The 13868-nt window shown below is 51.6% G+C and overlaps 1 protein-coding gene across 18 annotated transcripts in view, besides 3 other annotated features; it reads left to right on the top strand.

The window, feature by feature from the left end:
- Positions 1 to 13868, top strand: part of CHST15 (carbohydrate sulfotransferase 15) — an 85931-nt gene that overhangs the window by 67645 nt on the left and 4418 nt on the right. For 16 of the 18 annotated variants that reach the window (NM_001270764.2, XM_047425324.1, XM_047425327.1 and 13 more), the window contains 2 exons: positions 4542 to 4698; positions 13474 to 13621. In NM_001270764.2, the coding sequence (NP_001257693.1) occupies positions 4542 to 4698; positions 13474 to 13621 (305 nt within the window). Of the gene's footprint in view, positions 1 to 4541; positions 6304 to 13473; positions 13622 to 13868 lie in introns of those variants that run through there. The other 2 variants (NM_001270765.2, NM_014863.4) reach the window with 1 other exon arrangement.
- Positions 311 to 480: an enhancer, noted in NCBI's record as "experimental_10820 CRE fragment used in MPRA reporter constructs". NCBI's record gives its function as "activates a minimal promoter by MPRAs in K562 erythroleukemia cells, with activity observed for both the introgressed and non-introgressed 10:125785075 variant alleles {active_cell/tissue: K562}" and the evidence as "EXISTENCE:reporter gene assay evidence [ECO:0000049][PMID:34662402]".
- Positions 4611 to 5117: an enhancer, noted in NCBI's record as "NANOG-H3K27ac-H3K4me1 hESC enhancer chr10:125780353-125780859 (GRCh37/hg19 assembly coordinates)". NCBI's record gives its function as "activates a minimal SCP1, AML or CMV promoter by ChIP-STARR-seq in naive H9 embryonic stem cells {active_cell/tissue: H9 hESC(naive)}" and the evidence as "EXISTENCE:reporter gene assay evidence [ECO:0000049][PMID:30033119]".
- Positions 5118 to 5623: an enhancer, noted in NCBI's record as "NANOG-H3K27ac-H3K4me1 hESC enhancer chr10:125779847-125780352 (GRCh37/hg19 assembly coordinates)". NCBI's record gives its function as "activates a minimal SCP1, AML or CMV promoter by ChIP-STARR-seq in naive H9 embryonic stem cells {active_cell/tissue: H9 hESC(naive)}" and the evidence as "EXISTENCE:reporter gene assay evidence [ECO:0000049][PMID:30033119]".

The raw sequence follows: 13868 nt of genomic DNA, 5'->3' as shown, positions 1-13868 counted from the left end.
GGAGGCCAGAAGTCCTAAATCAAGATGTCTGCAGGGTTGGTTCCCTCTGGTGGCCCTAAGGGATAAAAGCCGTCCCCTGCTCCCAGCTCTTGGTGGCCTCCAGCAGTCCTTGGCGTTCCTTGGCTCATAGACGCCGCACTCCAGGCTCTGTCTCCGTCTTTCTGTGGTGCTGTCTGTCCTCTCCTCTTTTTATAAGGACACCTGCCATTGGATTTGGGACCACCGTAAATCCAGGAGGATCTCGTCTTAAGATCCTACACTTAATGACATCTGCAAAGACCCTATTTCCAAGAAAGGTCACATTCACAGGGGCTGGGCTTCAGACTTGGACATAATTCTTTGGTGTCCACTATCCATCCAACTACGGAATCCAGATGGTGGCCATGGCTTGTGGTGAATCTAGTCCCTGTTCAGATGTCTGTGACACAGCAGGATGCCAGGGACCCAGCATAGTTTCTCGCAGTGGGGTTCGAGGGGCTCCCAAAGCCCACTGCCAGTTCTCTGAGCAGATCCAAAGTACCCAGAGGTGACTGAGAGGCCAAAGGAGTCTCTTTTCATCCAGCCGAGGAAGGAGCGTGGCCTGGCTCTCAAAGGCTGTACATGTGACTCACAGGAAGTGAGGTAGTGAGTTCACTTTAACCCACCTCAAACAGATGAAAATCAGCCGTTTCACCTGCTAGGGGTGGGCTTGCCTGGTTGGAACAGTAGGTATGTCCCAGTTTTTCCTAGGGATTACTTCTTGATCTCTGAAGAATTGTATGGAATCAGCAGATTCCTCATGAAGTGACTTTGTATTTAAAATCAAGACAAGCTTAGGTGCTTTTGTTTTATTTATGAGCCAAATATCTGCAAGAAATGTTATTACCACAAAGAAAATTCTCAGTATGGAAACCTTCAGCCAGTGTTTGGGTTTGTGTGAGGTAATTTATGTGATGGAATTCCAGTTCCACCAAACAATTTGGGTAGTTCTGTGGGCATCTTTGGTAAAAACTGGGCTTCGAATACTTATTTAACGTGGGATTTTATGACAGTTTCAGAAGCATCTGTTACTTTTCATTGACGTAGTTTCTTGGGCTGAGCCATATTATTGACAGGACTCATAGGAAATGTGTGAGCCAGGAAGGGTACCCCTCAGACCAATTGCCACCTGGCACCCCTCAGTGCACACAGCCAAACCTTGCTTGAAGGTTCACGCGTGTCTGATTTTGGCACTTATTGACCAGCCATTTAGGTCATAGTAACCATGAGCGACCCTATGGCGACAGATGCCGTGTTTCAGTTTTGATGTGTCTTCTAATTCTGAAGAAGGAAAATAGCACAGGTGATGTTGGGGACACCAGTAATAAGCTGATGTGGTGTTGTCTTGGGGAATATTCTCAGGCGAGTGTGGATCTGGGGAAATCTACTCAGTGGCCACCGAGCCCCTTTGCTGACTGTCTCTTTGGACAGTTTGGCTGGCCAGGCTGTGGTAGATGGAACACTCCTGTTCCGGTGGGTGTTTTGATTCTAGGAACTCTGTGGGTAGATCTCAAACTGCTCAAGACTTCCAAGAGGTGTCCTCTGTGGACATTGGCCGTGGATGAATTCTAGAGGGCTGTGTCAGAGGCACCCGATGTGCCAAGGTGGGCTACGGAGGTGGATAGCTTCTGGGCCTGTCCCTAAGAAATGCTGCTCCTCATATCATGACCTCAATTAGAGGGGAGGGCAGTGGAGAAGGCGCATTTGCAACAGACCCTGCTATAAGGGAGCACAGTTTTTGCAGGGTAGTATGTGGCTGAAGGTCTGGGAGCGTTTGGAAGTATGGATGGCGGCTGGGCGTGGTGGCTCACGCCCGTAATCCCAGCACTTTGGGAGGCTGAGGTGGGTGGATCACCTGAGGTCTGGAGTTCGAGACCAGCCTGGCCAACACAGTGAAACCCTGTCCCTACTAAAAATACAAAAAATCAGCTGGGTGTGATGGCAGGCGCCTATAATTCCAGCTACTCAGGAGGCTGAAGCAGGAGAATTGCTTGAACCCGGGAGGCGGAGGTTGCAGTGAGCCGAGATTGCGCCATTCCACTCCAACCTGGGCAACAAAAGCGAAACTCCGCTTCAAAAAAAAAAAAAACGAAGACGGAAATATGGATGTCAGATACCTGGATGCATGGGTGCAGAATGAGAGTCACAGAATTGCCTTCCCTGGAAAGAGGGGAAGCCAGGTTGGAGAAGTTGAAGGAATAGAAAGTATAGAGCTTTGAGGAGAGAGAAGTGTGACCCTGTGGAGCCACGTAGGCCATGTTTTTCATAAGCCCAGTTTCACCCTTGGCCCAGAGATGCAGGTGTGTGTGCAAGAAGAGAGTGGGACATATGGCAGGAAGGTTGAAAACAGACAAAAAGGGCTGCAAGGAGAGATAGAGGAGAAAAAAGAGTAGGAAACTCACACCCTGAATGTTCTGTTGAAGATAAAAACACCTCTTTTTTTTTTTTTTGAGAGAGGTTCTCACTCCCATTGCCCAGGCTGGAGTGCAATGGCATGATCACGGCTCACTGCAGCCTCAACTTCCTGGGCTCAGGTCATTCTCCCACCTCAGTCTCCAGAATAGCTGGACTACAGGCACGCACCACCACGCCTGGCTAATTTTTTGTATTTTTAGTAGAGACAAGGTTTCACTATGTTGCCTGGGCTGGACTTGAACTCCTAGGTTCAAGTGATCCTCCCACCTCGGCCTCCTAAAGTGCTGGGATTACAGGCATGAGCCACTGTGCCTGGCCCTGACATTTATTAAAATGGCAATGCAGGCCTTCTTCAGGACCATTGTGGTAGGTATAGGGACTGCCATGACAGTTTTTCAGTAGAGGAGAGAGACTCCGAATACAACTAGGAAAAGTAGGGATTTTAAAGCCGAGGCAGGTGGATCAGTTGAGGCAGGAGTTCAGGACCAGCCTGGCCAACATGGTGAAACCCCATCTCTACGAAAAATACAAAAAAATTAGCCAGGTTTGGTGGGCAGGCGCCTGTAGTCCCAACTACTCGGGAGGCTGAAGCAGGAGAATCGCTTGAACCCAGGAGGCGGACGTTGCAGTGAGCTGAGATCACGCCACTGTACTCCAGCCTGGGGGACAGAGTGAAACTCTGTCTCAAAAAAAAAAAAAAAAAAAAAAAGAAATGCCAAGGAGCAGGGCGAGGGGGTTGGTGGCTAGAAAATTACTAAGGGGAAACATCAAGGGGGAAGGGGTGGGGATTCTGGCTAAACCAACCCGATGGGATTCTTGCTGGAGACAGGCCAGGTGGCCAGGCATCTCCTGGGGGTGGTGGACTAGGAACCTGATCAGATAAGAAGGGTGGTCAGTTAACCAAGGGTGGGGGATTCTGGCTAAACCAGCATAGCAGTGTCAACAAACAATATTTTGACAAATTTAGTTTAGAGATCTCACTGGTGTTTATTAGCACGGTCCATGAACAGGGCAGCATCCCATTCCTGTAATACGAAGGTGCTCCTGTGGGCCCAGCCAGGTTCTGGCTTTATAGGCAGAAACGGGCTGAAGAAGCAAAAACAGGCAACGGAGAGTGGATTGTTCATTTCAGAGTGACTTTCCTTCTAGGGTTAAAGCAAAGGGGACGTCTGACTGGTTGCTGTGTATCCCCTGGTTTTTTGGAAACTGGCCCATTCCGAGTTCAGTTCAATTACGTGGCACCTAGCACAGATGACTCTGTTCTGGCCTGTGGGGGCCTATTGCAGAAGCTCAGTCCAGAACAGTAGCCTCTCATACATTTTATTTAACAGCAGGATTCTTGCTAAAATAGGGTGGTGCAGAGATGGACCTGGAGGTAAAAAAGTTAAGGTCTAGTTGGGAGGAGGATACAGAGGAGCCTGAAGTGGGTCAAGGAAGACGATCAGTTCCCGTGCGGCAGCATTCTGCCATACGTGTGTGTGGTGTCTAGGAACAGATCTGTGTCCACGGGTAAACGTGTAAGTCTGCAGGTATTCCTGTGCATATGTGGGGGTGCTTTTACATCGTGTTAAAAACAAGGTCCCTACCAACCTAGAAAGATACATCTCATCATTTTTTTTTCAATGTCAGGAATGCGTATGCAAAGTAGTGGGAATTTCATGCGGAATTGTAATATTGTGAGAGCAACAGATGCTCTTATTTTTGTTCCCTTCAGTAGAGGAGAGAGGAATGAGAAGGTGCATAAAATTTTCATGGCTTCTCTTTGCTAGTGTACCATTTTTGTAATCTGGTATTGTTTGAAGCTCCCTGTTACTGTGAAAACAGAGGCTGCCTGAGATGATAGAACAAGCAACACCATAAAAGCGGCTGGTGGTTTGTGTGGGGCCAGTATAGACATGTCTGGGTCTGGAAGAGCTTAGGTGGCCACGAGAAGGGCGGGAGCTCGGAGGGATGAGGGAGGTGGCTCATCTGCAAGGGAAAGAAGAAGGGTGGTTGTGCTTCAATCAGGAAAACTAGATAATGTAATTGTACACTGATTTTCATTGTCGCCCAAATGGTGTGATTGCATGTTCATGGGTGGTAAAAATATGCATTTATTTTATTCACAGGTTGTACTCAGACTATCTCTACTTTGCAAGTTCGAATAAATCCGCGGACGACTTCCATGAGAAAGTGACAGAAGCACTGCAGCTGTTTGAAAATTGCATGCTTGATTATTCACTGCGCGCCTGCGTCTACAACAACACCCTCAACAACGCCATGCCTGTGTGTACCCCCCCCCCCCGTACCCCCCGAGCTGGCCCCTGGCAGAAGGAGCTGGTTTGTTGTTATTATGCAAGCGGCATTGTGGGTTTGCGTTTCAGCATAGGAACAGAGAGAAGCGTTTTAATGTGCAAATGCTGTTCCCCATTATTCATGGATGTAAAAGCTGAAAACTGATGGGCTCTTGGTCTGGCTCCTGCCTTCCTCCCTGCTGGTCACCTGCCACCTCCCCCTCCTCCCTCAGCAGGAGGATGAGGGTGCCTTTAGGAAGATTACCATTTAGCAAGACACCCAGCAATTAGAATCGGCAGACATGAGGACACCCAACTCTCAAATTGTCTTAAGAGCATTCTCTTGAGCGGTGGATTGTTTTGTTGGTTTAAAAAACTACCCATCAATGATTTTCAATGCTTCTTTGACAGAGTCTCAATTGAAAAACATTTTCTGTTGATTCCTCAATCGTATCTCTTGTTCTTCCTTCAGAACTATGTCTGTAAATTTCTAGCCTTTTTGAATGCAAAAAGCTGTTATTGGTGAATTCAGCACCTTTTAGCCCCGGGATAGTTTTCCATGCTGGGCTCCCTGGGCTGGCTGTGTACTTCAACAGCAGGGCTTATGCAGCGAGCATTGCCGCTGCGTGTTCCAGAGTGGCTTTACAAGCCTTGCTCTGCTCAGCGTCTCGCATAGCAAGGCACCAACAGGCCTGCTGTGGAGTCTTGGAAGCCCCCAGGTGGTGGGACTTCAGGCCAAGAGGCTCTGCCCCCTCTTTCTTACTACAGAGGCCGTGGGATCTGGGAGGCAGCATGCAGGGGCAGCAGGTGGGATTCCAGGCTGCCCTGTTGGACTTTGTAGTTTGGCAAGGAAGATGCCACAGGGACACAGGTAACCCCAGAGCCTGCTCTGGTGCCAGGTAGGAGGAGTACACTTTGGAACCAGCCATTGGTGTGGGTCAGGTTTCCAGCTTGGCCATTTGCTGGCTCTGTGACTCTAGGCAGTTGTCTCAGCCTTTCTGAGACTCAGTTGCTTTGTCATACAATGGGGTAATAATGCTGCTGTACCAGGCTGTTGTGATGGGTCTGTCTTGCATTCCTGCGTTCATTCTTGCCACTATGTCCCCTGCATGACGCTGGGTCCTGGGGCCACAGCAATGCCAGGACAGGTGTGGTCCTTGCCTTCCTGTGCAGCTGGCGGGGAGAGAAGATGGAGGCTGGGCAGGGAGCTCTGGCCACCAGAGAACCACCTGAGAACGGGGCTTCAGGCAGGTTCTTAGGAGAGGGAATGTCTGTGCTGAGGCCTGAAGGAGAGTTGGCCAGGGAACTGAGAGCAGCGTGTGCAGAGGCCCAGTGGTCAGCACCACCTACCATACAGAACGCAGCCAGCCGCCTGGTGTGGGAGATGGGGGGCACTGAGGCAGGGGGCTTGGGTGCGTGGCACATGGGGCCGCACCACCTGGTCTAGCCTCAGAAGAAGTCTAGACATCACCCTGAGAGAGATGGGACCCCTCAGAGGGTTTTAAGCAGAAGATAGTGTAGGAGTGGAAAAGGAATATCTCACTACTGTGTTCATGGCTGAGGCACCTATAATAAAAGACTAACGCGAGAAAGCACACATACTTGTTTAACGTAAATTTCATGTAACCCGGGAGGGAGCCTTCATAAGGAAACGGAGACCCGGAGAAACGGGAAACCTGTGCGTGTTTGTGCTTGGGTTTGATGAAGAGAGCAGTCGGGGAGAGGGCCATGATTGTCAAAGGGGGAATGACTCAATGGCTCTGTGGCCACCGTCACAGGGGACACAGGGTCTCGGAGAAACTCTATTTGTGTGTGGCTTGACCAGCACAGCTTGTCGACCCGGCTTCGTGACCCAGAACCACTCTCAGCTGTGACTCTTGGCCCTGGACCCCTACGGAGTGAGTCTGAGAGAGCAGGCAGGGCAGCCCACCCGGTCCTCAAGGCAGCTCCCTGAGGGCGGTCTCAGGGCTGGGGCTGGCAGGAGGAAAGGGGCGCTGGCATGACGCCTCAAGGTGGGGTTGTGGTTTCTTCCAGCACTGATCATGATGCTGAGCAGAGAGGGGTGCCCAGTGTGCTGACAGACACGAATCAAGTTGCAGCTGTGACTCAGGCCAGGCCCATTTCGTGCCACATCTACACTTTCCTGGTGCAGGTGGCTCTTCCATCCTGCAGGCCTCGCATGGAGGACCTTCAGTCCTGGCATAAACAGTAATAGCAGCAGCTCAGAGCCAGGGCTATTATGGGTCAAATGCCGAGGTTGGCACACAAATCGGGGAACGTGCTCGCGGACTGGGTTTCCCCATCATCCTACCATGCCTGATTCAATCCACCCACGAGTCCTTTTCCCTCTTTTTCCCAGTATTTCTAGAGAGCTCCACTGTTCTACCCTCTGCTATTGCCCTGATTCAGCCACTGGCCCTTTCATTGTAACCTCCACCTGCACAGCTTCCCTCTCTCTGGGAGACAGCCCCTCCCCAGACCCCTTCTCACCTTGATCCGTTGCACCAGGCATCTTTCTAAGATGCTGAACTGCCATCACTATTGATGGGGTTCAAGGCACACTGCCCCCAAATATAACAGCTTGGCATTTGAGAAAACAGCAGAAGCAGAAAGGCCATTCTTGCCTCCCTGTCCCCTCCTCCTCTGAAGCTGGCCATAAAATGCTCAGAGCAGAGGTGCCCTCCCTGTACATCCTAATCTCTGAAGATCCGGGGGCACAGAGGCGAATCTGAACAGACAGGCCTGGCTGTGTCTCCCCCAGTGCATGACCATGAGATAATTTCCCTTTACAGGGATTCGTGGCTCCGAGCTCACTTCTTTGGCTGGCACTCATGCTCTCACTTAATCAGCCAATATTTATAAATGCAAAGCAAAGAGAGGAAATTCCCCAGCATTATTAAATGATATAATTGGAATCCTAAACAACTGTAATTACAAACAAAATGTGTGACATCGTCAGGAGACTGTCTCCAGGTGAATTTAAAGCATGGCTGGGGGATTTGCCTACTTTAGTGTGGGAAGCAAGGGTGCACCTTTGTCCCCTGAGGGTCAGGGGGTGCAGGACCCCTCCAGGAATGAATCTTGAGGGAAAAGTCCAAGGAAAATCCAAGAGGAACCAAATAGGAGTGTTGTCCCATCTTTGATAGGGGCCTCCTTTCAGGGAAGGAAGAGCTTGGTGCACGGCCTTCAAGGCTTGTCTGAGGCCAGCACCCTGACTGAGGGAGGGATGAGGAGGAGGAAGGCATTGGTGGTTCCCGGCCCCAGCCGGCCAGGTGACCCAGTTTGCCTGGCTCCCTTCTCTGCCCAAGTGCCTCCTGGTAGACAAGAGCCACCAGGTGGAGCCTGCCGAGGAGGCTGTGTGTGCTGGTCAGAGTACGGATGGGAAGTGATGGATTCAGCCAGTGTAGACTCAGCACCAACCTGGCACTACACCTTAACACAGGCCCTCCCATGCCTGGGGCTTACTACTGGGAAAACTGAGGCTCAGGGAGGCAGCCTTCCTCTGGAGTCACAGCCAGTAAGCAGAGGATCTAGGACCCAAATCTAGGCCTTTTAACCCAGCTTCCCCTAGATGTGTGTTTGGCTTCAACATTTCCCCAACCATCTGATCTTCAGTGGTTGCTACTCTGCACCCACAGCGTGGCAGGCCCTGGTCCAAGAGAGAAGGTGCAGGACGGTGCTGTGACCAGTTGTGTGCTTGGAATGAGGCCTGTGTCTCCACCTGGGCGTTTCTACCACATTGTGCCTTTTGAAACTTTCTCCTCTTGGTGATCCTGCGTGACTCTCAAAACAAACCCGATAGGTGGGTGGGAAGACAGGAGTCAGTCATTGTCACTGTCAGCAGATGAGGACAGTGAGGGGCAAGGTATCCGGCTAATGTGGTCGTAGAAGGTGCCAGAGCCCTCCCCTGCAGGCCCTGGGACCACTGAGTTCTCTCTGCAGGAGGCTGCCTGAAAAGGACTGGGAAAAGTGGGGCAGGTGTGGGCTTTGCACTGGGGACTCCTAGGAGGAAGCGGCTTAAGCTGGGCTGGGTTTAGATGGACAGGGAGAGGCAGGGCAGGGGGGAACTCCTGACCCAAGGCACAGTTTATTTTAATAGCTTTAAATAGTGTTTCTTGCTGCAGAAGAGCTAATATCTAATATGCACGTACAGTCTGCTTGCTACCGGGCACTTTGTACCATGCAGAGTGTGCCGACTCCCATCCAGCGCCCTGGGGGCAAGCCCTTGGATAGTTTCTCCCACACAGAAGGGAGGGTGTGCCCCTGCCCTCCTGCTGCGGGTCAGCACTCCGACTGTGAACTGGAGAGCACAGCTGAAACTGAGCCATAAGTTCATGGGCACCATCGTGATCCTCCCTGTGTTGTGTATGCTTGAGTCTTCGTGATAAAAGGTTTCTAAAACTCCATCTGTGAGAGGTGAAAGGGATCTAACCTTTGTTCATTACTGCCAGCCCCTGTCCCAAGCCCTTTCAATGCATCGTCTCATTAGAGATCCCCTGAAATCCATCCCTGTTTTACAGGTGGGAAGACTGAGGCTCACAGAGGTTAGTTCTCCCATCCATAGCTGGTATCAGGCAGGCTCAAGGTTCAATCCTGGGTCTGCTGGCGTTTGACACTCAGGGAGTTTTTGCCTTCCCTAGCTGGCTCCTAAAAGCAAAGGGTTTTGCTGGCAGGAGGCCTGGGCTTTTATGCTCAATTTTGCGTTTTGCTGAGGATGACAAGACAGTAGCTTAGCAGGTGCCTCTGCTCAGAGGAGATCCCCAGGGGCAGGCTCAGTGGACAGGAGGGGTGCAGCAGTAACAGATTGTCCCTTAATCTTCAGTCCCTGGAGAACTCACACACCAGAGAAAGAGCCAGGCAATCAGAAACCCTCCTTATAGAGGTGAATTTTCATTTCTGGGAGGAGAAGCCGGTTTCCCTCCAGATGTGAATCCCAGCCCTGCCACAGCCCTGGGAGGGCAGCTTTGTAAGGCACCCTGGGCCCCGGCACACCCTGCTGGAGTCATTCACCGCCTTCCTGTGGCACCCGGATGCAGGGGCAGCACAGACCCCTCTGCCTCTGGCCAGCCCCCGCCACTGTTCCGCAGCACACCCTACCCTGAGGGGTGCTCAGAGGGGCCAGTGAGCCTGCCTCAGAGCAGGGTCCCGAGAAGCCTGGTGCCTGGATGAGCAGCAGCCACAGCCCCTGGGAACTTGTCAGAAATGCAAACGCTCTGCCAGTCCCAGACCTCCTGAATCAGAAACTCTGGGTACGGGGCCATGGTGTGTTTCTCAGGCCCTCCAGGTGGGTGTTTGTGGGGTCCGGTTGGAGAGCCACCAGGGCTCGTCACCACTCCCTCCTTCGTGCCCTCTGGGGTCGGGGAGACTTGCTCCAGGGCTTGCTTTACTCTGACTGTCTTCTCTCTCCACCCACTCCTTTTCTCCATTGCATGCATCACAAGGTGATCGCGGAAGTCTGTTTCTTTACCAGTTGAGCTCTGTCTCCATGAGATTGCAGCCTCCCTGAGGCCAGGGCCACTTCTGTTAGCAGCAAATCACCATTGCCTAGCAGGGTGCCTGGCACATGGTGGCACGAGCTCAGCTTATTTGCCAAATGAATGAATGGGGACTAGTGGGGAGGCTGGCTGGGGACTCCCAACTGAAATCCCTAGTAGGGGACGGAGAGGCTCGGCCTGGTACCTGTCTGGGGAGAAGTGGGGACTGGGACTGTGCTCAGCTCAGCCTTGGCTCTCGGTGGGGATTGCTTTTCCCTGGGGCCCTGCATGGGGGACAAGCTCCACAAGCACAGGTGACCTGGCTTCAGGTCCTGGCTCCAAGGGTATTGGCCACTGACCCTGAGTAGCCCCCCCCGCCCTGCCCTGCACCTCCATGTTTCTATTGGTGAATCAGCTGGCACGGTTAACTTCAAAGGCTTCTTGCAGCTCTGATGTTTTCTAATTTTAAGCACATTGGACACTTGCCCTAAATACGCTTTTTATTTTTGTTCTATTTTGATTCTCTGTCCTATACCGGGAAAAGGTGAGGGGAAAAAAAATCTGCTGGGGGCTGTCTTTGTCCTGTCTTCATGGTGCATATGGTTGCAGTAGTGATACTGCCTGCACCAGAAACTGTCACTTCAGGTGACCACACTCCCCCTGCTTGGCAAGGGGGCTGGGGGTTGGGGTGGGAATTGAGGGGCGTTTGGAGCAGATAGATCAGAGGGAAGGCACAAAGCGGGAGGGGAGCTAGCCCCGGGAGAAGCAGCCGAGCGCCAGGAGGCCTTTGCCGCCTGCAGCCCCTGCGGTTTCCTCTTTTCCTCCGCTTCCTGGCTCAGCCCTGCCTGCTGAGGAGGACCATGCTGCGGTGCAGGCCTGTGTCCACCTGAGACAGCACAGGGGGCTCTCATGAGGATGGACACAAACAAGGTTTCAGAGAACTATCTGTCAGGTGCAGGTGCCCAGCCAGGTGCTCGGACAGACTACAGCTGCTCTAAAACACCCCAGCCTGCCACAAACACCTGGCTGCTTTCCTTCTGGAAAGTTCTCCTGTTGAAAGGCACGTCCTCTGGAAAAGAAAAACCTCATCAGACTGGTCTCCCCTACGAGGGACGGCCTACAAGCCTGCCAGGGAGACAACTGAAAAGCCCCGGGAGGCGGGTGACTTAACAGCGAGTTGGTCTCGTCATGATTCGTCTGCGTTGGAGGTGACAACACATGTTTATTTCTGAGACCGGCACGTTCTCATTTTCTCTTTAGTTTCGGCCCAGCTTGAGGTCTTTTTTCTGAGCTGGCATGTGAGGTAGCAACAGTGTGGGTTGGAAACAGCTAATGAATTTTGAAGGCAACTTATCCACTCTAATTGCTTTTCTTCCTCTCCATCCTCCTCCATGGTTAGAAAAATAATGAAATGGGAAAAGAATAGTTAGCATCTGTACATATTTTGCCCAATCTTTCATTGTCTTATTATTAGCACTGTATTCAGCAGTTGCACCCGAGAACCATGTTGAGGGCCAGAGTGCAGGCTTTGCAAGGAGGGAATGGTGGAGAAGCCACAGTCCCTGCCCTCAAGGTCAAGGTCCAGGTCAAGTTGGGCAGGAAAGGAAATGTGACATGAGAGTGTCTGCCTAAAAAATGGGAACTCCAGGGAGGAGCCTGGGGAGCCAGGAAGTGCTGCATGTATGAGAGGATGAGCTGGAAGTTTAAGCCAGGCCCAGGACTTTCTACACATAGAAAGCCATGGAGGCTTTAAGCAGGGCTGGCTGTGGCCAGATCACTGCTTTGGAAAGCCCATGCTGGTGGCAGGGTGCATATGAGAGTGCAGAGACCAGGGGAAGGAGGACTAGCCAGGAGGCTGTATCAGCTTCAGGCAGGTGTAGATGGGGCATAAACAAAGGGAGTGGTGTGAACTGGGGAGAGGTGGGAGATGAGAAGTTCTGGGCAGACACAGATAGGCAGAGCAGGGTCCCTGGGCACTTGGAGAAGAGGCAAGGGGAGAAGCCCTGGAGAAGGGGGCCTCACAGCAAAAGGGGATGAGGCTGTTTTTTTCTGGAAGCTTTGCTAAGAGTTTAGGGTGAACTGTGGAGTTAGAGGAAACTGTTCCTAAGACTGCTCTCACTTCTGACACCAGTTGCAAGTTCAGGAGAGATATTCTCCAACCCACCTTCAGGTTTAGTAATTTTCCAGAAGGATTCTCAGAACACACTGGAGGCTATTACACTATTGGTTATGATTTATTACAGGGAAAGGATGAAGATTAAAATCAGCCAAGGGAGAGGAAGTGCAGGGGGCAGACTCCAGGAGGGGCCCAAATGCGGAGCTCTGAGTCCTCCTCTCCCTGTGGAGTCATGGACGGTGTTAGTGCCACTGGCCATGGTATGTGGCAATCCTCGTGGAGTATTGCCAGGCCAAGCCTTGGGGGTCCAGGCCTTTTACTAGGGTTCCGTCACATGCAGATGCTGTGGCTGACCTTTAGTCTCCAGTCCTACCAGAGTCAGAACTGATACCATGTGGCCCAAGGCCCCATCATCAATCTCAGTGTTAGCCTGCCTATGACCAAAGCCCTCAGGCCAACCAAGACACTTCTGTCAGGCAGGACATCCAGGGGCCCAGACATCACCCCCAGGAGCCGAGGGAAAGGCCCGAGTTCTCTCTGAGTAGAGTTAAATCTTCACCACACGGCTTGCAGTAAGGCACGAGAGAAGGAACAGAAGGGTGAAGACCCGGGAAATGGGTACTGGAAAGTAGAAAGGACTTAAATAGAAACATCCTCCTGTGTACTTGGTTCAGTAATGATTAGATGCTGAATTACACACACCCTCACAGTCAAGGATGTTCCTCTGGCATCAGGCATTTGGCTCTTCACTCATGTAGGTTGTCTTTGGGGTGTCTGTGGTTGATTTTTCACATCCCGTTGTGTGCTGGGCATAGAGGTCACACTGGGAACAGAGAAACAGCCAGGATATTGTGCGAGGAACATGTACACCATTGGTGGCCACAACCTTGACCTCTTCCCTGCACTTCAGTCCTTACCTGTGAAATGGAGGCATGGCGCTACCCACAGGGTGTTGTGAGGATGAAATGCAACCCCTAATATAGGAATTCTTTGCACATGTAGCACAAAACCCCCCATAAAGAAGCAAGAACACCTTGTGTTAAAATCCAGCTTCTGAAAGTAACTTTGCTAGGATAACTCTTTTGTGGTACAGTGAAATGCCATACCACTTTGGAAAAGTGCCCTATGGTGTTGGGGCAACTGCTCCTGAAATAATGCCCTTCTTCTGTGGTCCTAGGTGAGGCTCCAGGTTGGGCTCTATGCTGTGTACCTTCTGGACTGGCTCAGCGTTTTTGACAAGCAACAGTTTCTCATTCTTCGCCTGGAAGATCATGCATCCAACGTCAAGTACACCATGCACAAGGTCTTCCAGTTTCTGAACCTAGGTATGAGTGTGGTGCTTAGACTGACGGGCCAAAGCATGAGCTCCGTGGACTTGTTCTGGGAGTCCTCTGGGGCAAATGCAGACCTGGTCAGCTGGGTGGGAATGGGCTGAGCTGGGAGGCCTGGGGATGTCCTTCAGGAGGCCTGTTAAGTACCATTTATTGAGCACTAGCTGTACATAGGTCATTGTGCACAGTATGGTGAGGGATTCTCTGGAGAGAAGGAGATGGTTTCCCTTCTGGGAGCTTA

This window comes from Homo sapiens, chromosome 10 (assembly GCF_000001405.40).
Source record: "Homo sapiens chromosome 10, GRCh38.p14 Primary Assembly".
NCBI lineage: Eukaryota > Metazoa > Chordata > Mammalia > Primates > Hominidae > Homo > Homo sapiens.
The sequence above is the reverse complement of the archived record's forward strand: the minus strand, read 5'-3'. Positions and strand labels throughout refer to the sequence as shown.